This window comes from Homo sapiens, chromosome 8 (assembly GCF_000001405.40).
Source record: "Homo sapiens chromosome 8, GRCh38.p14 Primary Assembly".
Classification (NCBI taxonomy): domain Eukaryota; kingdom Metazoa; phylum Chordata; class Mammalia; order Primates; family Hominidae; genus Homo; species Homo sapiens.
In genome coordinates this window covers 41,982,613-42,006,140 of record NC_000008.11, presented here as the reverse complement: position 1 = coordinate 42,006,140, position 23,528 = coordinate 41,982,613, and the positions used below count along the sequence as shown (strand labels likewise).

Here is a 23,528-nt window from a genome sequence, read left to right as displayed (position 1 = left end):
TCCTCCTAGTCCTTGGCAAAGTGGTGGGTGTATATTAGGTATTAATAAGGTAATTGTTATTTGATGGTATACTTTTGCTTCACAGAAACTTTGTTTATTTCTGTGGTAGCATATGCTTGTAGTTGTCAGGGACCAGATCAGCTCAGGCTTTTTTGCAGAATACAGGTTATTTCCCCATAGGGTTAGTATCCCCACCTTCTTCCCCCAAGAACTGAAATCATTTTCAGAAGGGAGTCATTGCTTCTGGATCAAGACTTTAATTATGGGCTTTTTTTCAAAGGCAGTTCCCTTTTCTGCAGTTGTTCTTTGGATGGATGGATGGATGGGGAGAAAGAGAGTGAGTGTGTGTGTGTGTGTGTGTGTGTGTGTGTGTGTGTATTTGCTTGCAGCATTTGAATATGTGCAGCACATTGGCTTTCTAGACATCCTTTGTATAGTAACAGCATGTGTGGAAGGGCTGGCAGCCTGTAAAACAGTTTTTCTCCTCTTCCCCCTCCTTCCAACCTCACTCCCTCTCTGGATCTGGTGACATTACATAGATAAATGTGCTGGCTAGGAAAACAGCAGAAGGAGTTGAATGTCTGCCAAAAATTTGCAGCATGAAACCAAGCTGGCTGCTTCAGCCTCGCTTTCCTGATCTCTTATTGTGTGTGTGCAGTCTGCATTTGTCAGGGTTTTCCTTATTGAGCATTACGTCACTATGTTCTCCACCCTTATCACACTGGCTTTTCTTTTGAAAGCTACTGTCCTCAGGCTTCAAACTCGTTAAACACTTAAGGCTTTATTTATACTGTTACGGAGGTAGTATTGAAGATGAAATATATTTAAGTCAGAAATTTTAATTTGATGCAATATTAACTTAGAGTATGCTTTTGTGTGTTTCTGGGCAACATTAGGGTAGTGTAGAAAAGAATATCTTCTGAAAGGACTTTGAAGACAGAAAAGTACTGATTTTTTTTAAACACGAATATTTATAATGGCTTTATAAGAATCAAAATCTGGAAACAATTCAAATGTTCCTCAAATGGGGAATGGACTGTGGCCTAGTCATACAATGGATTGTTACTGGCGATGAGAAGTAACAAACTATGACACAGCCATTAACATGAATGAATTTCAGATGTAATCTGCTAAGCAAAAGAAGCTAGACTTACAAGGCTACTGACTGTATGATTCCATTTATATGCAGAAATAGTGCCTTTTTTTTTTTTAGAGACGGAGTTTCACTCTTGTCGCCCAGGCTGGAGTGCAATGGCGTGATCTCGGCTCATTGCAACCTCTGCCTCCCAGGTTCAAGTGATTCTCCTGCCTTAGCCTCTTGAGTAGCTGTGACTACAGGCGCACACCACCACACCCGGCTAATATTTTTGTATTTTTATTAGAGATAGGGTTTCACCATGTTGGCCAGGCTGCTCTCAAACTCCTGACCTCAGGTGATCTGTTCGCCTCAGCCTCCCAAAGTGCTGGGATTACAGGTGTGAGTCACCGCACCCGGCCGAAGTAGTGATTTTTAACTGTCGATCAGCATTGTGAATAGTCATTTCTAGAAAAAATGATCTCATTTACTAGTCTATTGAATTAAAGAAGGTAATGTAGGATCTTGAAAGTTGGGGTTCTTATTTTCAAGATTTTTTATAAAGTTGAGTATCTAGACTGCAAAATGTGTCAGTGGTTTTAGAGGGAAGAATTAGCTTTTCATTCTTTGCAGAGTCTGGTGAGAGTGCTTGAATCCATGTCTAAAAAAAGGGCTTTGCTTACTAAAGCTTTATGTAGTTACTTAAAAAATAAGTGTGCTCCTACTTCTTTTTTTCCTGAATCCTTCAGGCTTATACAGTTTAGGAACCATTAATTTGAATCAGTTATTTGGGCAACTTACCTGTAATATTTTCATTATGTTTGTTACTTAGCATATGCTATCCTGTATTGTAATGTTAATGCACACGTCTTAATTTTACAACTAGATCATAAGACCCAGCAGCAGGGAGCTAGTTTTATTATATATTTGTTTCTCTAGCACCTAACTAAATATCCTTATACACAATAAATACTAAAGATAATGGTCTGTGTAGGTAACATTGAGGATATGAATAGTATGAGGTGATTTCACTAGCTGACTACTAGTATGCTAGGGCTGTTATTACAGAATACCGTAGACTAAATGGCTTAAGCAACAGAAATTTGTTTTCTTACAATTCTGGAAACTGGAAGTTGCAAATCAAGGCACCGGCAAGGTTATCCTCTCTCCTTGTCTTGCAGATGGTCACCTTTTTGCTGTGTCCACACGAGCTTTTCTCTGCGAGTACACTCCTGATTTCTCTTTCTCTTATAAGGATACCAGTCCTATTGGATTAGGGCCCCAGCTTTATGATCTATTTAACCTCAATTACCTCTGTTAAAGGCCTTCTCTCCAAATAGAGTCACATTGAGGAATTAGGGCTTCACCATATGAATTTTTCAGGGAGCAAAATTTAGCCTGTAACAATGACCTCCTGAAGATAGGTAGGTATGCCAAGTTGCTAAGATATTAAATAGAATCCACACTAGATACTTCAGTAAAGAAAATGATGTATAGGGAATTGATAAAGCAGATGCTGGAGAACTGAAATGCAAAATGGAAAATTGAAGTAACACCAAGGTAATAACTTCCTGAATCAGCTACAACCCCATGGGCTGGGGAAACAAAAAAAAAAAAAAAGAGGTTTGAATTATTGGAAGCTTGGAGGAGGGGCTCCACAGAGCTGAGATTCAGACTTAGGAGGAAGGCCCGCTGCCTGATTGCTTTCAAAGACTTGAGCGAGAGGCCCCACAAAGTTGGGTCTCAGATCTCTCAAAAAGATGTCTTGCCCTGCTGCTGTTGGGCTTTCTGAGGGCGCATGGGAAGTCTAGTTCTGAGAGCTGAAGGAAGCTGAAGACTGGAAACAACCGTTTCTCCTCGGAAAGGGCCAATGCTAGGGTTCCAGTGGCAGGATAGGAGATAGCAAGGAGCAAGTCCGTTCTTTTGTCACCTTTACGTTCTAGTCTTCCTCTAGTGTGTTCCCGGCTGGTGGAGATGAATGGGAAGCCGCCTGACAGGAGAAATGAAGTGTGCAGAATCTGAGCCCCACATCATAAGGCCCGGTAGAGAAGAGTGAACTTGGACTTGAGACACAGCAGCTTAATAGATGGTACTATTATTGGCAGGAGTACAGCCTCCCTGAAATTCACTTTGGCAGTATGGATCAAAAATCTTAGAAATGTGCATACCTTTTGGCCCAGTAATTCCAGTTCAAGGAATATGTCCTAAGGAAATAATCCAAAAAGTAGTAAAGATGTAAGTACAAAGCTGTTTGACTGCAATATTGCATATAATAAAAAATTAGAATTTAAATGTTCATCAATATGGGATTGGTCAAATTACCTTATAGCATTTAGTGAAGTGTTATATAGCCTTAAGAAAGATGATATTGATTTGGATTTGTTGATGTGGAAATAGAAATTTAACAAAAAAACAGATTATACTCCATCCTGCTGTGGACTCGTCTGTGTTTATGTGTGGGTTTTTTGTTTTGTTTTGTTTCGTTCTGTTTTTGTTGTTTGTTTTTGAGCAGAGTCTCACTCTGTCACCCAGGCTGGAGTGCAGTGATGCTGTCTTGGCTCACTGCAACCTCCACCCCCCAGGTTCAAGTGATACTCGTGCTTCAGCCTCCCGAGTAGCTGGGATTACAGGCACACACCACCATGCTTGGCTAATTTTTGTATTTTTAGAAGAGATGGGGTTTTGCCGTGTTTGCCAGGCTGATTGTTTTGTTTTGTTTTGTTTTAAATCTATGTAAAGAAAAAGCTGAAAACAATATACAGGAAAAGAGACAGTACATCAGGTTGAAGAATGCAGGCTCTGGAGCCAGACTGCCTGGGTTTGTATCTGGGCTGTGCCACTTACATCTTTATGACTTGGGTAACCCAAATTAATCTTTCTGGGGATGTTTCCTATCTGGAAAGTGGTGATGATATTACCTTCCCCATAGGACAGTTGTGAGGTCTGAAGGTGTTAATACCTGTAGAGCATATAGAACAGTGCTTGTGATTAAGTTCTCAGTAGATGCTGGCTATTAAGAGGAGGAAGCAAAAGATTAGGAGAGAATTTTAGTCTTATCTCTCGTTTTATTATAAAAATTTTAGTATGAATGTTACGATTTTATAATTGGGGTAAATAGTGAAGCTTTTCCATTAAAACTAAAAACAATGAAGCAGACAAAGACGTACTAAGTATCTTTGCATACATGTAGGAGACCTAGAACTCTAAGATGCTCTCTTTATAGGTAACCAAGCATTTCCTGCTGCAGCCTAGATATAGCTGACAACTGAGGCTTGTCTTTTGACAAGCCCCTATTCCTTGTTGTAGGAGAATTTCATTCTTCTCAAGATCTGTACAGATCCTCAGGAACTTGCATTGTTAAGCTTACTTCTGGCTAGGTTCCCAAGGCCTTCATCTTACTTTTGCCCTAGCTCTTTGGGTGTGTCTCTTCCCTCTGCTCTGCACTGCACAGAATCAAACTTAAGCCCCATGCCTTTTAAAAAATTACTGAAAAATGACATACTTGTTTTTTTAGTGGGCTGCAAGTTTCAAGATTTTTATTGTAGCATAGAAAAATTTTAGAATGTAGTCTTAGACAGTTTTTTGAAAAGTCCCTTGACCATGTTGCCTTTAGGAACTTGTCACTAGCTGCCACTTACTCTACATTTCAACCTCCTTCCACCTTTCTTGACCCTCTCAATGCCTTGTCTTAGTTTCTTAGGCAGAAAAGTTTTTGTCTTACTTAGTTACAGAGACACTAATGTGCTGTGTTAAAATAAAAGGTCTTATTAGTTACATTTAGGAACCTGCTTTGGTTCCATATTTTTGTCTATCTTTTCCCCTTTCTTAATAATTCTCTGGGAGTGGAAAAAGGGAGTAAAGATTGATTTCTTTTTGCTATGAATAATGCTGTTCTTTGAGGAAGGCAGCAGAGAACCTCTGGTCAGTATTTGTTTTAAATATCCAAGTTTAAACCATTCTACACTATATTATGTTAGTATCACTATTTACCAATAATAGAAACCGAGCATTTTCTACCTGTAAAGCCTCCTTCCTCCTCCTTCCTTCCCTCCTTCCTCTCCCTCCCTCACGTTTTATCTATAGATTGTTCACTTGAGCAACTGAGTTGAAAACTGCATAATGTATTTAGAGTTATGAACTTGGAGTCAGAATATCTACCTGACTTTGAATGTCACTTTTGTCACTTTACTAGTCATGTGCACCGTTTGACAGTGATTTTTTTTCTTTGTTTAACTGAGGAGCGTATAATGATTTTTGCAGATCCCTTTCAGTTCCAAACATCATGATTCTGATAGCAGAACCTTGCATTCTATCAGATATGTATCAGTTATTGTTCTTCATAGGTCTTGAAGAAAATGATGCTATATGCCGATTTGTTCACGTGTTCTTAAACCTTTGGCCGAAATAAATGCCTACAATAACAATATTTTAAAAATTTAATGAACATGAAAGTCTTGTTGAACATCTTCTTCTAAAACATCACTTTTTTTTCTTTTTTTTTTCTTCTGTTTTTTTGAGATGGAGTCTTGCTCTGTTGCCCAGGCTGGAGTGCAATGGTGTGATCTCGGCTCACTGCAACCTCTGCTTCCTGGGTTCAAGTGATTCTCCTGCCTCAGCCTCTAGAGTAGCTGGGATTACAGGCGCTTGCCACCACACCCCGCTAATTTTTGTATTTTTGGTAGAGACGAGGCTTCACCAGGTTGGCCAGGCAGGTCTCAAAGTCCTGACCTCAGATGATGCACCCGCATCAGCCTCCCAAAGTGCTGGGATTACAGGCGTGAGCCACCGGGCCTGGCAACCATCACTTCTGTATATATTTTAGCATAGAAATATTCTTTTGCTAATGCTCTTATACTCAAGTACCACTAAATTATTTTTTTAAGTGGGTAATATGCAGTGTGGCAAATGTGTATGTACAAAGACTTTAAAACTCTTAATGCAGTTGCATAAGTAAATACCATATATAGAAAATTTCTTAGGCCACAGGAAATTTTAATGAACTTGCCTATTTCAGGAAGTTAAAATAGAACTAAAACTTGCCCTGAGTTAAGAAGTGGCAATCAGTCAGTTAACAAAAATAAGCTTTGAAGGATAGATACAGTTTTGAAAAAGGTGTAGCAGAAACTAGCACTTACTAGGTGTTTCTTACATTTGAATTACACAGCCATAACTTTATCTGTTAATCTTCACATTAACTTGAAAGGCAGGTATGTTGTACTTTTCAACACTTAAGTAACTTGCTTAAAGTGATGCCACAGTGGCAGAACCCAGTTTGTTTCTAAGTGCTGCTGAGGTGATTCTTGTAGGTGGAGATACAAACGACTTTGAGAGAAGGGGTAAAATACCCTGGAGAATGAGCGTAAAGTATGATTTCTGAAGATGAATGAGTAGATTGGGAATAGAGGAAGATAGAGTGAGAAAGGTAGTTTAGTATATAAAGGAGGGAATTGAATGCCAGCCTGTGGGAGTTGACAGTTGAGATATATTTTATAAGTTTTGAGCCAGGCAAATGACTGGATAAAAATAGTATTTAAGGAGGATTAATCTGGTAGCAATATGCAGAAAAAAGTCAAAGAAAGAGTAGAGGGAGTCAGTCTATGGAGGAGATTGCATATGGTGACATGACTGAGTCAGGAGAGAGGTACAAACATGTAAAAGAAACTAAAGTAGAAAGAAAAGGACCACAAAGGAAGGGAGAGGCAATAATAATTTGTAAATATCATCCAGTATTTGGATGAATGAGGAAATGTATCACTGACAAATAGAAAGTGGAGCTTTCAAATAACCACTAAACCTGTGAAAGGAAGATAACGCTTTGCAGTTTCTTAACTTAGAATTTAAATTCAGCAAATATGGATATTGTCATTTTTGATGTCACTTCTGATTAAGAAATAGAAGATTGTTAGAGTATCTTAATAGATGATTGATTTCTTATCTGAATTTCCAATAATCTACATACATAGTAAAAGTGGAAATTGAAGTTTATCATTACTGATCCAATTATATCATTAACTTTCACCAGTAATCTTATTGATGTCTAATTGTAGAAGTCATTGAATGAACTCATCATAATAAAAATGAATTCAATTTAGCATCCCTATTAAAGTTTTGTAATGGCTAATGGGTTATGTTGGAATTGATTAAAATTATAGAAAGTTATATACTATAAGTAATGGAAATTATAGGTCTTTTCCCAGGCCATTCATTTTTTTTTTAATTATTATAAATCTTTTGCAGGTGTGTACTTTTGAGAACAGCTTATCCTTAAAAATGTTTAATAAGCAGCCATAGAGTACTTGATAGTATATGGGATGCTGAAGAATTTAAAGAGATTAAAGTCCACCCAGATATAGTTTCCTTGAAGATATAGAATCTAGGAGGAAAGGCTCTGAGTAAGTAATGATAAATGGAGCTAAGCATGGTTTCATTGCATTTTAATTTCAACAAACGCTTACTTAGTATATACTAAGTGCAAGGCATAGGTGAATTAAGTGGTGATATCTGCTCACCTAGGATATCAGTTTGGAAAAGGTGGCTAAAAATGGAATTCAAAACTGTCAGAAAGGATTTGGTCAGAGCATGAGTTCATCAAAGGCTATTATTAGTGAAAGAATGAAAAACTTGGTAAAATTGACATGAAGAGCTTGCCTGAGTGGAAGAGAACCATACGTTTTAGAACATTCAGCTTTCTCAAAGTATGAACACTTTCCAACAAAGGATGAGTTTCCTAAAGGGAATATGTGTGCAGTTTGTTACTCTTATGATATTGGAAATAACGAATTTTGCAGAGATTCTTCCAGAAGGCTTACTTTTTTGGTGTGTGAGTGAAAATATGAATGGTACTTAATTGGTTTCTAATTGTTTTGTGTGGATTTTGTCTTTGAATTGACTGACATTTATAAGTGCTTTGAAAATGTGAGTACAACCTTTTCTTTGATTGATTCAAATTTTTATGTTATGTTAAAATGCCCACCAAGGAGTAACATTTACTAGACTTCTTACTGTGTATTGGGTTATATTTTGACAACCTAGCAATACTCGTTTTCCTCATGCCCAGTCATTGAGCATCATTTTGGTTTCCTTCACTATACCATGCCTGAAAATAGTCCAATTTTCCACCCTTCTAAGCTTAAGACTTAACTCCTCTTAATCCTTCAGGTATTTGTATAGTAGAGTGCTTGTCAGTAGATGTTTATCAGCTTATAGATAATGTCTCTGCTGAAAATTATTTGTTTCAAGTTCTGTGAAACAAATACCCACCGAAGAAAGTTAATTTCAAGTTAAATTTACTTTACTTGATTATAGAAGAAGGGAGTAGGATGAAGTACCTGGGAGCCACTAGAGGACTGGAGAGGCAGTCTAGGTTGTAGTTGTAGAGGGATAGATTTGAGAGAAGCTTATGGTGGTTTATGCTCAGAGTAACCTGGATGGATAAGATATATGGTGGTCAGAAAGAATTTTTTGTTTGAGACTGAAAAGTGTTTGATCTATAGATTTAATTCTTAAAAATTTTTCTTAAGACAAAGTGAGTTGTTTTTATGCAATTGGATTAAAAGATAACTAACTTCCATGTAGGTACAGTGAAAATAAAATGGCTAACATTTAAATTCAGTAGCCAAATATAATTGTTATTAGTAACTTTTTTTTCCATTTTTGATGGGCTACAATTATATTTCTAATTCTGTTTACTGCATACCAGATTTAACATATTCCTAGGGTTCCACAGGAATGGTTAAAAATACAGGTTTCAAGATGAGAACAAATTATAGTAGTTGCTTTTCATTGCATGGGTTTTGACCTATTACTTAAATCATCTGATTTGTGAGAATATGAAAAATCTATACTAATTGGTTTTGTTCATTTTTATATTGTAAAATTTATATAAAAATTTACCATTTTAACTATTTAAGTGTATAATTCAGTGGCATTAAGTACATTCACACTGTCGTGATACCATCAATTTCTTTTCCATCCATTCAGAACGTTTCCATCATCTCAAACAGACTCTGTATCCATTAAACAATAACTTCCCATTCTCCACTTCCCATGGCCTTTGGTAACCTGTTTTATTTTCTGTCTCTATGAATTTGTCTATTCTAGGTACCTCATATAAATGGAATCATATAATATATAATATATGTCCTTTTGTGGTACACTACTAGATTTTAAAGAAACGAGTTGCAATAATTATAGTTGAACATAAGTTTTGTGTATGCCTTAGTCTGTTTTCTGCTGTTGTAACAGAATGCTACACACTGGGTAATTTATAAAGAAAATATGTTTATTTGGTTCATAGTTTTGGAGACTGAGAAGTCTAAGATCAAGGGGCCTCATCTCTCTGTGAGGGCCTTCTTGCAGTGCTATAACATGGCATAAGGGCAGAAGACAGAAGCGAGCACGCAAGACAGAGAGGAAAAGGGGGCCAAATTCCAACGATAACTAGCCCACTCCCCTGATAACAGCATTAATCTAGTCATGAGGGTGGAGCCCTCATGGCCCAATTACCTTCCGAAAGCCCCCACCTCTTAACAACACCAGACTTGGAGGGGACATTGAAACCATAGATACTTTATAGATGTTTTGTATTTAAATCTATGGTAGGATGTGCTCATTATCCTTTTTTGTTGCTTAGTGCATGTTTGAGTGTTATAGGGAGTATTACATGAATTATATGTGTACTTCTTCCATACTCTTTTAATTGGATATGCCAGTGTGTCTCAGTAATTTCCAGTGGCTGTAAAACTTGAGAAATTTTGTAGCTTTTAGAAACCACATACCTGTATTGCCTGATTGCTTATTAAGTGATCTCTTAGAGGTTTCCAAAGTTATGAGTTTGAGTTTACAAGTGCAGTTTTTTTCCATGAAAATTTCAGTGGTGACAAATTATAGAATTTATCATTCAATTCAGTCTTAACTAGAAATAATTGCATATAATAAAACAGGTTCTTGACTGTTCTTTTTGTCAGTGTTTAAGAATAGAGACAAAATAAAGTTAGATTTGAGTGCCTCAGAAGATATTAGAAAATAGAGATAAGGTTTATGGCCTTTAAAAAATTAAAGACAGTATTGGGGGAAAGAAATGAAAATTGGGACCGGGCGTGGTGGCTCACTCCTGTAATCCCAGCAGTCTGGGAGGCCAAGGTGGGTGAATCACCTGTGGTTAAGAGTTCGAGACCAGCCTGACCAACCTAGTGAAACCCCCGTCTCAACTAAAGATACAAAATTAGCTGGGTGTGGTGGCACATGCCTGTAATCCCAGCTACTCGAGAGGCTGAGGCAAGAGAATCACTTGAACCAGGAGATGGAGGTTGCAGTGAGCTGAGATCACCTCATTGCACTCCCGCCTGGGCAACAAGAGCAAAACTCCATCTCAAAAAAAAAAAAAAAAAAAGAAATGAAAATTGGACTTTTTAGATGGGAATATCTCAGATGATATATCTGTGTATCTAGAAAATGTCATTATTTAAGATATTCTAAATGGTTATGATTAAAAATTATTTCATGGTATAAACTTCAACAGAGAGCATTGGGCAAAATTTTTACTGTTCCTGTTTTTAAAAGTTCAAGTCAGAATGCCTGCTTGTTACCGAATCATCCACCCTGTGTTTGCCTCAATACTGCCATCTGGTGATTATTATAGAGATCTCAACAGGGTGCTTAAAGGAGATGTAGGGCAACCGACGACACAAGGTACACAATATTGGTGCCCTCTGCCTCAAATCTCCCTCTGCTTTTGAGTTGCTATGGCAGAAATCTTACTTAGTTATGGCCATGAAATCACTTTGTGAGATTGCTTTGTAAACAATAGAGCATTTCTGTACTGCTGTGATTATTACTGCACTACACATGGCTTTTTATCAGGCTCATACCCAACTCATTGTTCTTTCTATGTAAGGTACTCTTATTATATCTAGTTCTACAAGGTAATTCAATTAATTATTCAGTAATACTTATTGAGTGACTTCTATATACTAGGCATTGTTTTTATTTTTATTTTTATTTTTTTTTTGAGATGGAGTCTCGCTCTTGTTGCCCAGGCTGGAGTGCAGTAGCACGTTCTTGGCTCACTGCAACCTCTGCCTCCTGGGTCCAAGCGATTCTCCTGCGTCAGCCTTTTGAGTAGCTGGGATTACAGGTGCCTGCCACCATGCCTGGCTAATTTTTGTATTTTTAATAGAGACGGGGTTTCACCACGTTGGCCAGGCTGCTCTTGAACTCCTGACCTCGTGATCCACCTGCCTCAGCCTCCCAAAGTGCTGGGATTACAGGTGTGAGCCACCGTGCCCAGCCTAGGCATTGCTTTTAGTAGTAAGAATATGGTCCTAAAAAACAGGTGAAAATCAGAGTCTTCATAGAAGTTACATTTAGTTAAGAATAAATAATAAGATATACATACACACATGTTAATTAGTGAAAAGGGTTAAGGGGAAAAAACAAAGCAGGGAAGGAACTTGTGAATTATTGGGGTTGGTGGGTTGCTTTGAAATGCTAGATGGGGTGTTCAAAAAAAGCCTTACTGAGAAGGTGACTTCCTGAGTAGAGATCTGAAAGATCTTGGGACGAACATTCTAGATATAGAAGGAAAGCAAATGCAAAGGCCCTGTGCCTGTAACCACTGCCTTGAAAACCTAAGCAAGGAAGCTGGAGTGGAGTGTAGAGGGAGAGAGCAATAGAAGATGAGGTCAGGCAGGTAACTGAGGGGGAAAGCAGGGGAGTACAGATCACACAGTACCTTGTAGTTCATGTGGCATTTAATCTGAGATGGAAGCAATTGGACTGGAGAGTTGGGGGCAGCTGAATGACATGCTTTGATTTACCTTTTAACAGATTCACTGTGGCTGCTGTGTTTAATGGTGTGTAAAGTCATTTGCTACAACCTTTTTTCTTTTATTAGTTGTAGGAACAGGTTTACTTTATATAGATCATGGGAACAATAAGGTATAAGAAAGAAGCTTGGATAGGTCTGAGAGAAATATATGGCATATTTTCTGTCTCTGCACAGATTTTTTCACTGATTATCAGTAGTTTTTGTCTTTGTGATACAGAGCAATTGAAATCAGCTTGTAGAGTTTTTCTTGGAAAATGCTTTGAATATCTCTTCTATTTTTCCTATAACCACCTTAGTGCATTTCAGATTCAAATCTTATGGTGAACCCAATATAGTTTTAGCCCTACCTCACTGGTTTTCATGCTCATTAATAGTTTGGGAATGAGAGTGACCTGGAGTTATAATTTTTAAATGCTTTTAACAATATAGTTTGGCATATTGTAAAACAAATCATGGTGTACTGATTAGCAGTGCTATTTGACCAATAAATTAAAGAAAACTGATAGACTGTGTCTTAACCTAGATGATTTATTTAAACCATTTGTTGCTGTAGCTCATCAGCTGAAATGACTTAAACCCCCAAGGTACTGTTACTCTTTCCCAAATTGCACTTAAAAAACAAACTGAAATTATCACTTAGTTAAAATGTCATGATCATTGTCAGTAATAGTATATCTCTGTGGATTCACTTTGGTTTGGTAGCTGAAAAGTTTATTATTTTTATGCTTGGCCAAAGAATATGCATCTTCAGTGGGGAGCATGCCATGTGTGACTGAAAACTGTTTTTATACAGCTTGACTCTGTTTGGAATAACGCCTTTATTTGGCTTAACAAATTGCTTTTCAGCTTTATTTTCACACTGTAAATATCAATATTGTATAAACTTGTCATTATTGGGACTAATCAGCAAATTGTTTTGTGTCATGAGTAAGCACGGTCTAAGACTGGGATTATTTGATAAGTGCTAGAATAATTTGGTTAAACTGTCTATCCAGCTCTAAGTAACAACACAGCCAGTTGGTCTGAATCACTGTGCCTCAACCCTTCACTTTGATGAATAGGTTTGAATGGCTGAAGCTAATTTGGTTTGGGGTAGACAAAGTCTAGTAATGTGAAACTGATCATATATAAAAGAAGTGTTAACAGTAGTAATATTACAGGGAATATACAGGGACATAGAGGGACAATTTTGCTAGCGGTTTCTTAGTTATGATTTTGAATACCATTTTTTTTGCAGTTAGAAACTTTACTGTCTTGTTCTGGATGATAAAGACACATGTTTGAAGACAGGTTTCCTATGCTGAAGAATAACAATAATTTGTTTTCCAGACTTTCTCCTTTTTTTCCCTTTTATGTTTGCTTCGTTAAGTAGTAATAAAGTGATCTAATCTGTCCCTGAGAAGTATAGTAGATTGGCCAAGTACTTTGCTATACTTAAATATGTTAATTTTGGTAATTTAGTTTGAGTTGCGATACTGTTCTCAGTCTTCCCTCTAGCTTCCCTGTCCTAAAGTAGGCTTCTCTTCAGTGATTGCTCTAAACCCAACTTTGTTCCTTTTTTTAATCCAGACTGCTAAAGTGATACAATGAGCTTTATATGTGAACCTGGTACTGTGACCTGCCATTCATAGGTCATTACATTGAATTGTGTACATATCCCTCGAGGAGAATGACTTTTCCATGCTCTCACCCCTGTTTTATAAAAGATGGTGTAGTGGAGAGAGGCCCAGGAAGAAGAGTTGACACATCATTTGATCTTCACTGCCTCTAATAGGTCCAATCTCTTTTATTACATTTGTCTTCTCTTCTACATTTAAATAGGTTTAGTCTTTCCCATCTTGAACACTTAGAATACATTAAAACCTATTGCAATTTCTTTTTAGCTACCTTTTGTCTGCTCTCTGTCCGTTCATGGCAGTTTGTTGGTCCTGTGACTTTAGTTCTTATTCTGTCACTGACAAGGGCTCTCTCACAGTGATGCCTTCAACTATTTCTCAGTTGCAGAATCTAGTAAATACCTTTTTTTTTCTTTTTTTTTTAAAGACAGTCTCGCTCTGTTGCTAGGCTGGGGTGCAGTGGCATGATCATGGCTCACCGCAGCCTTGACTTCCTGGGCTCAAGCGATCCTCCCACCTCACCCTCTCAAGTAGCTGGGACTACAGGTGCTCACCACCGTACCCGGATAATTTTTGTATTTTTTGTAGAGATGGGGTTTTGCTTGTTGCCCAGGCTCCAGTAGATACTTTATCTTTCCAAAATTGATTATTGATTACTTTCTACTTGTTGAAGTTCTTGTGTCATTACTTCTTTTGTTTCTGTTTTCTCTTAGATTGGTCCTTTGTGGTCTCCTTTTTTTTCTCAGGTGCTCCTGAATGTTGGTATGCTTCTCTCAGTCTTTATCCCATTTCTGTACTCCCCTCTCCTTACTTTCTACCCTTTTCTGCCCCCTCCACGTTCTGAGTGCTGTCAGTTATCACCTGTATGTTGATATCTTTTCAGTCCATCTTCAGCCTGTTTCCTAAGTTCCAAACTTTAATGTCCAAATCACTATTGATGTTTCTTGAAGAATATTCCAAAGGTACCATGGTCCTATACTATATTTTTTGATTAATTTAAATTTAACTCTAATTAAAATATACATACAGAAAATGCACAGATTATAAGTGTACACCTTAACTACACATAATTAACATCCATGAAACCACCATCCAGGTCCTGAAAGAGAACATTACCAGCACCTCAGTAGTCTGTTTACAATTCACTACTGTTTCCTTCCTTTCCAAAGGTGACCACTTTCCTGACATAACAATGTAGAACTATATTTGAACATTACATTAAAAAAATGTACAGGATGTATTCTTTTTTCTGTTCTTTCAATATAGTTTGTGATATTCATCCATGTTGTTGGCAGCATTTGTTTATTTTTATTACTGTTTAACATTCTACTGTATGAATACAGCACAGTTTATCTGTTTAACCACCTAATTATTTGGGTAAATTTTGTTTGAATAAAATGTATTATTATGAATAATGCTGCTCTGAACATTTTGGTGTATGTTTTATTAATATGTACTTCAATTGTGTATATAGCTAGGAGTGGAAGTGCTGGATCATGTGGTATGGACATGTTCAATTTTAGTAGATAACGTCAACATTTTCAAATTGGTCTTGTCAATTTATATTTATATTCCTGTCAGCAGTGCATGTGTTGTTCCACCTTTTTTTTTTTTTTTTTTTTTTTTTGAGACGGAGTCTCGCCCTGTCACCCAGGCTGGAGTGCAATGGCACAATCTTGGCTCACTGCAACCTCTGCCTCCCAGGTTCAAATGATTCTTCTGCCTCAGCCTCCTGACTAGCTGGGATTACAGATGCCCGCCACCATGCCCAGCTAATTTTTTGTGTGTTTTTAGTAGAGACGGGGTTTTACCATGTTGGCCAGGCTGGTCTTGAACTCCTGACCTTGTGATCCGCCCGCCTTGGCCTGCCAAAGTGCTGGGATTACAGGTGTGAGCCACTGCACTTGGCTGTTGTTCCACTTTTTAATCAACCCTTAATATCAGTGGTCTTCATAATTTTAGCCATTCTCGAAAGTCTATTTTCTTGGTGACTAATGAGGTTGAACATCTTTCCTTATGTTTGTTGGCCTTTCATGTGTTATTCATGTATTTTCTGTGGGAAAGTACCTGTGGAAGTCTTTGCCATCTCTGTTGAACTGTCCGCCTCTTCCTTACTGCAATGTAAAAAGTTCTTTATGCTGGATATGGGCCATTTGTTGGTTAAATTTGTTGTTAATGTCTTACATTCTGTGGCTTGCCTTTTCATTTTCTTAGTGCTGTCTTCCCAGTCTCTTGTCTTCCTTACTATGCTTCTCTCCCCAAAGCAATTAGCCATCAAGTCCTGACAATTTTATCTTTTAATATCTTTTATCTTCTTTTCTCCATTTCTTTGCTCAGCGCCTTAATACAGTCCTTCTTTGCTCATGGCCTGGATTATAGATCACATCCCTTGCAATCAGTTTTTAACTGCTTACAGAATGACTTTTCTAAAATTTAAATCTTGGCCGTACTATTCCTCTGCCTAAAATCTCCCAGTTGTACCTTAGAGGCTACAGAATAAAGCTCAAATCTCATGACTGGCTTCTACCTTCTTCCTAGGCCTTCTTTAGAGTTGTTGGGTTTTTTTTTTTCCCCAGATTTTTACTGCTGGATAAAGTCTTTCCTGACTTACTTCCCCAGTTCTTTTTTCATACTCCTTTTTGAGGAAAGGATGTGGTAGTCTTAATTATGATTAAGCCATAATTATTAAGACAACTAGCCGTTCATCTCTCAGTCTCTTGGCTGAGCACTACTGTTAGCTTATTTGTGTTGGATGTTTTGATATTGGTGTTCCACCCAACTCTCTCATTAATCTGTTTGCTTTTCTGGCTTATTCTCTGCCAGCCACTTAATTATTGGTATTCTCACCTTAGCTCTCTTCTTCATACCTTTCTCCGTGAGAAAACTCATCAATTCTGATGGCTTTAATGCCATTTTGTATGTATATGACTTCTAGATTTTTAAATCCAGACCAGTCTCTGTCTTAAATTTCAGATCTCTCTGTATTATATTGTCAGTGGGTATTGCTACATGAATGTTACATAAGTATTTTTTATTTTTTATTTTAGTTATGTTATGTTACGTCACGTCACGTCACGTCACGTCACGTCACGTTACGTTATGTTATTTTTCCGAGATGGACTCTTGCTCTTGTCACCCAGGCTGGAGTGCAATGGTGCGATCTCGGCTCACTACAACCTCTACCTCCCGGGTTCAAGCGATTCTTCTGCTTCAGTCTCCCGAGTAGCTGGGATTACAGATGCATGTCACCACGCCTGGCTAATTTTTGTATTTTTAATAGAGACAGGGTTTCACCATGTTGGCCATGCTGGTCTCAAACTCCTGACCTCAGGTGATCCGCCCGCCTCGGCCTCCCAAAGTGCTGGGATTACAAGCGTGAGCCACTGTGCCCGGCTACATAAGCATTTTTAAGCTCAGTAAGCCCCAAACTAAGCTCACCTTCCCTTCCCAAACCTGATTGTGTATTTTCTACCTTTTTGAACACCTTTTTGAACCTGGTGGGGCTGCCTGTTAAATACTTCTGGAAAAACTTAAGTCAAAGGGTACTTTTGTGAAAGTACCTCCTTCCCCACTTTCCTCCTGTTTTCTATTACTATAGTTCTATCATGGTACCTACAAACATTTTATTGTACTTTATCTGTTCTCCCCAGTAGACTAAAAGCATCTCGATACTTTGTCCTTGGGGAAGCAAGCAAATCAATGAACCAATGAATGAATGCATCTTGAGGGTTTTCCATTGCCATCCTGCACAGTGCCTAGCATAAACAGTTGAGAGGTGACTGAGGGTACCTCCAACTAAACACATTTAAAATGGAACTCACCAGTTTCCTCCAAATTGCTTTCCTCCAAACTTTCTGCTTTAAAATGACTTGCTGTGCACAGTTGATAGCGTCACCATCTTTTCAGTTCACTTAGTCATATTTAACTCACTTTGTTTTTCTGCTACTCTCAAAACTGGTTTTAAGCCCATTGCTATTTCTTCTATTTCATTTCCTTAGCTTTGGTTCAAGTTCTCATCTTGTCTTCACCAGATCATTGTAACCACTGTTTAAATGTTTTACCTATCTTTGGAGTTTTCCCCGTTTGTCTTTGATATTGCTACAATAATTATTTTTCTCCAAGTGATTATCTCCTGGTTCTGTAAACTTGCCTATAGGATAAAGTCCAATTTTAAAAAAATTTATTTTCGTTTTAAAGCTGTATTTAGGTATAATTGATATATAAAAAGCAAATATTTAATGTATACATTTTAATGAGTTTGAGAGTCCAACTTCTTTACCTTCGGTGGCAGTCTTCACGAACTTATCTAGCTTCTTTCTTTTATTTTTTTTCCCCTCCCTTATAGCAGAAGCTATGTGCTTTAAGCATTGGCCTTACCAGACTGCACACCTAAGTCTATGCTACTTATACTACCTCTATTGCCTTCTCTCCATCACTCTTAGGAGGAACATAGATTAAACAAACCACTCTTAACATTTGTTAGCTACTGTCCTTGGACAAGTTTCTAAAGATCCCAAAACATAATACTGATGCTTAGTACATGTTGTTTTCCCCTTTCAACCTTTCCCTTCCTCCACACCACAGTTGGAATTTCTTTTTCGTACTGCTAGAAAACACTTACTGTTTCTCTCACTTAATGTCTTCTGCCGAGGAGTCACTGTGTCTGTTTACTTGTATATATCTTACTGCTCTTGTACTAGATCACATGCTTTTTCAGCGCTTACACTGTGTCTTCTTGAACTTATTCCAGTTGAATTTTTCAATCTTAAGGGTTTGCTTTTTAAAATCCACACTGTATCATTTAGGTTCTAAGTGATGAACATGACTGGGATAGGATTTTTTGGAGTAAAGTTTCTAAATGGTCATAACAAGGACCAGTTGTAAAGGCCCAGCCAGAGCAGGCTTTGTAAAAACTCACCTACTTAGCTGGAATTTAGGAGAGTAATACAATTGTCCTAAACTTACTCTGGTAGGAATTTAAAACTATAATTTTGATGTCTTTGTAGTAATACTAAATAAAAGTATTAGTACTGGAATGAATTGTGTTTTTCTTCACAGCCGGTTGCTGAACCAATCCCCATCTGTAGTTTCTGTCTTGGTACAAAAGAACAAAACCGAGAAAAGAAGCCAGAGGAACTCATCTCCTGTGCCGACTGTGGCAACAGTGGTATGTGATTTCCTTCTGTTTTTCTTCTAAAATGTGTTACGAAGGCAAGCGGAAAGTATGTTGACTTGAGTTTGTATCCTTGATCCTTATGAGATTAATACAGTCATACATCTTTTAATTATGGGGGATAAGTTCTGAGAAACATGTCTTTAGAAGGTTTCATCATCGTGTGAACATCATCGAGTGTTCTGACACAAACCAAGAGGGATGGCCTACTACACATCTGGGTTATGTGGTGTAGTCTGTTGCTCATAGGCTCAAACCCGTACAGTACTGAATATTGTAGGCAGTTGTAACACTGGTGAATATTTGTGTATCTAAACATATCTAAATGTAGAAAAGGTACAGTAAAAATACAGTAGTATGACCTTACGGGGCTACAGTCATATGTGGTCTGGTTTTTTGTTGTTTGTTTTTGAGACAGAGTCTTCCTCTGTCACCCAGGCTGGAGTGTAGTGGCGTGATCTTGGTTCACTGCAACCTCTGCCTCCTGAGTTCAAGCAATTTTCCAGCCTCAGCCTCCCGAGTAGGTGGGATTACAGGTGCCTGCCACCACACCTGGCTAATTTTTATATTTTTAGTAGAGACAAGGTTTCACCATATTGGCCAGGCTGGTCTCAAACTCCCGACCTCAGGTGATCTGCCTGCCTTGGCCTCCCAAAGTGCTGATATTACAGATGTGAGCCACCACACCCGGCCATATGTGGGCTGTATTTGATTGAAACGTCATTGTGTGGTGCATGACTGTATTTTAATTTGATTATGGTTTTAGGTGACTGAGATGAGCTTCTGTACTAGGGAGGGATTTGAATATATAGCTGAAATGTGTAATTCAGTTAATTTAAATCAGGTCTTAGTTTTTTTTTATATATATAAAACACTTTCTGTGGGTTTATTTTTTCCTCTTGGTCTTTACATTTCAGTATTTAACATCTGCTTAAATCACAGCAATCAGTTTGAAGTTATTGCTGGTTTCTTTAATAATCGCTACTTCGTCTTTCTTGATTTATGCCTCAGGCTTGATGAATAGAACCAGGATGATAACAGATTTGTTTTTCTTGATGGAAACTTACATATGTCACATTGGGAAATAGTGTTGATACTGCAGTCTAGCGAGCAATGTGAAATTCTAGGCCCTAAGAAAGATTTTGCAGAATCTCCTAATTTGCCAGTTCCAGAGATATTCTTGCTCTACATTTCAAGAACTCACAAGATCGGCCAGGCGCAGTGGCTTACGCCTGTAATCCCAGCATTTTGGGAGGCCGAGGCGGGCAGATCACAAGGTCAAGAGATCGAGACCATCCTGGCCAACATGGTGAAACCCCATCACTACTAAAAATACAAAAATTAGCTGGGCGTGGTGGTTCGCACCTGTAGTCCCAGCTACTCAGGAGACTGAGGCAGGATAATTGCTTGAATCCAGGAGGCAGAGGTTGTGGTGAGCTGAGATGGCGTCACTGCACTCCAGCCTGGCAACAGAGCGAGACTCTGTCTTAAATTAAAACAAACAAACAAACAAAAAAAAAACTTACAAGACCTTACAGGAAGGCCTTAGCAAACCAGCATTATCTTTGACCATTGGCTTAATTTTCAGTGTTTTATAGTGATAACAACCATGATTTAGTTCAGAAAACAGAAACCACACTACATACTTCAAGAGGAAGGAAGTTAAGTATAAGAATTAGGTATTTGTGAAATCATTGTCAGGGCTGAAGAAGCAAGCTGGAGGTTGGGCTTTAAGGACTGACTCTGGGGTCACTGCAGAACTGACCCATCTGAGGAGTTACTGTGTCTGCCTCTATCTGGAAGAGGTGCAAGCAGGGGGGAGTCCACTGCACAACAGTTGCGCTCTGTAGTTGGTGCTGAAGTGCTAAGTTTGGCCATCATTACAATAGCTCTAGATACCTACGAGGGAGAAGCATGGATACGGTTGTTACCATGACTTTGCTTATCATTAGAAAATAGTACTAGGAGGAGGATGATCTTTGCTTTGTTTTTACCTTTCGAATATCCCTGGAGAACACATCCACTTGTCAGAACTTAGAGCCTAGCTGCAAAGGAGTCTTAAGAAGTATGATTTTTTAGCTTTTCAGTTTTTATGCATAGTAGAAGGTGAGAACAGATCTTGAGTGCTAGGTAGTCATATCCAGCGTGTTGTCACAAACCAGAATGAACTCTGGATGGATTTCATAGTTAAATATAAACCGTAAATCATGAAAGATTAGATGAAAATATAATGGCATGCCATACAATGCAGTTATTTCCAAATTCCCTAATTAAAACCCAAATATATAAAACATAGAATGAGTTGTTCTAGGTGGGGTGGGAATGAAACCGAGGAGAGGAAGTGTTGTGTCTGCAGCCCTGCCGTCTAAGTAGCATTATATTTGAGGTGGTCTGTGCGTCTCTCTAAGCTAAGGATGAGCATAATTTGAAAACTATTACTGTAGCGGTAACTTTTTTTTTTTTTTTTTGAGACAGTCTCACTCTGTTGCCCAGGCTGGAGTGCAGTGGCGTGATCTCGGCTCACTGCAAGCTCTGCCTCCCGGGTTCACGCCATTCTCCTGCCTCAGCCTCCGGAGTAGCTGGGATTACAGGTGCCTGCCACCACGCCCGGCTAATTTTTGGTATTTTTAGTAGAGGTGGGGTTTCACCATCTCTACTTCACCAGGATGGTCTCGATCTCCTGACCTCGTGATCCTCCCGCCTTGGCCTCCCAAAGTGTTGGGATTACAGGCGTGAACCACTGTGCCCAGCCCCTGTAGCGGTAACTTTTAAAGAAATTGTAGAACAATTAACTACTAGTTATCTGTTGCTGCAGAAATAAATTACTCTAAATCTTAGCAGCTTAAAGCAACAAAACATTTTTTACTTCATACTGTTTCTGTAGGTCAGGAATTTGGGAGTTGCTTATCTGGGTGGTTTTGACTTGGTATCTTTCATGAGGTTGCTGCCAAGATTTTAACTGGTGCTGCAGTCATCTGAAGGCTTCCACGATGGCTCATTTACCTGGCTGGCAAGTTGCTGCTGCCACGGGCTTGTCGACAAGAAGCTTCAGTTCCGTGCCATGTGGACATCTTCACAGGACTGCATGCATGCCTGCAGCATGGCAGCTGGCCTCCCCCGATGAGTGTCTGAGAGAGAGTGAGGTGGAATCTGCAGTGTGTTTTATAACCTGGCCTTAGAGTCACACTGTGTTATTTCAGCAATATCTTCTTGGTTATGCAGATCAACCCAGTTCATTATGAGAGGGAGTTGTAAGAGTATGACTAGCAGGAGGCAAGAATGCCTAGGGAGCAGCCTGGAGACTGGCTGTCACAATAGCCAAAGAAGAACAGCATGGGCATAGCTGGATACATGAACGTTGATATTTTCTAAATTAAAAAGTAACATGCTTAAAGTAGAGCAAGAATAATTTGGGGGAAAATAACTGCTTTAAATATGGCAAAGGGCCAAAAGCTATATAAGTATAAAGAACATGTTTACATTTCTAAGCATGAAGTCCAAAGAGCAGAGCCTGTGAACTGGCAATTTATATGAAAGAAAACTAATAGTTGAGCCTATGAAAAGTGTTTTACTCAAGTAGTAATAGGAACACATACCACAGTAGCAGTGAAGTATCATTGTATAGCGTTTATAATAATCACAATTGAAATATAACAGACCTAGAGCTCATGTAGTTGTGCTAAAACACTTGTTCTTTTGCTGGTGGCACTGCATATTATATCATAGTTTTTGGAAAATGTTTTGGCAGTGCATATCAAGCTATAAAAATGTTTAATACATTTGACTCACCAATCCCACTTTCAGGAATTCATTCTAAGGGATTAAAAGAAGTAAAGAATCTGTAAACATGAAATAATTCATTTTAGTGTTCCGTAGTCTCAGTATTTAACAATAGGGAAATGTTCATGCAGGTTATAGTATATCAGTCAGTGGAATATGATCAGTTTAAGGAATATAAAGTTTACTTAAAATTTAAAATAAAACAAAAACTGTATGTTTGCTAAAATTACAGTCATGCAGAGCTTTCAGCTAGTTTAAACAGGAAAGTCTAACATAAAAATGGCTATTATTCTAGGATGATAGGATTGTGGGTGAAATTTTCACACCTCTTGGATTTTCCTTCAGTGTTAGTGATGTTTTGATAATAAACTTGCTATCTCATAAAAGAGAAAATCCTTTAGGAATAGAAAAGAGAGGAGAAGATTTAACAAGCCCTTTCTCTCACCAAAGAAAAATAAGCACGACCAACTTTTAGAGGAGAGGGACAGCTCTTTTCAGTTGAGGGGAAATTGGCTACCCTTAATTTTTGAGAATCAGACTGATAACTGACTCTTGGAAGAGGAAGCATTTTTTTCTCTTGCTATTCATTCTGAGCACAGTAGAAATACTGCTTTTGGTTTTAGTTTTAGCTTGCATGCCTTAAATTGTGAGCAGATAACTCACTTTAAGTGATGGTATTTTTATTATATACAGGAGTCCCCCTTATTCTTGGAGGTTTCAAGACCCCCAGTGGATGCTTGAAACCTTGGATAAAACCGAACTCTGTATATGGTGCTATGTTTTTCCCTGTGCATGTGCATACATACATATAATAAAGTTTAATTTATAAATTAGGCACAGTAAGAGGTTAAGAATAATAGATAACAAAATAGAACAATTATAACAACATGCCACCATCACTAGTTTTGTGCTTTGGGACCATTATGAAGTAAAATAAGGGTGACTCCAACACAAGCATGATAATAACACTAGCATGGTGATACCAGCAACAGTCTGATAACCCAGACAACCACTAAGTGACTAACAAATGGGTAGTGTATGCAGTGTGGGTGATCG

General features: G+C 38.2%; 1 protein-coding gene across 2 annotated transcripts in view; it reads left to right on the top strand.

Annotated features, from left to right (window-relative positions):
- The window catches only part of KAT6A (lysine acetyltransferase 6A), a 122,509-nt gene that overhangs the window by 45,847 nt on the left and 53,134 nt on the right, over positions 1-23,528 (top strand). For both annotated transcript variants that reach the window (NM_006766.5, NM_001305878.2), the window contains exon 3: positions 18,578-18,686. In NM_006766.5, coding sequence (NP_006757.2) covers positions 18,578-18,686 — 109 coding nt within the window. The remainder of the gene's footprint in view (positions 1-18,577; positions 18,687-23,528) is intronic.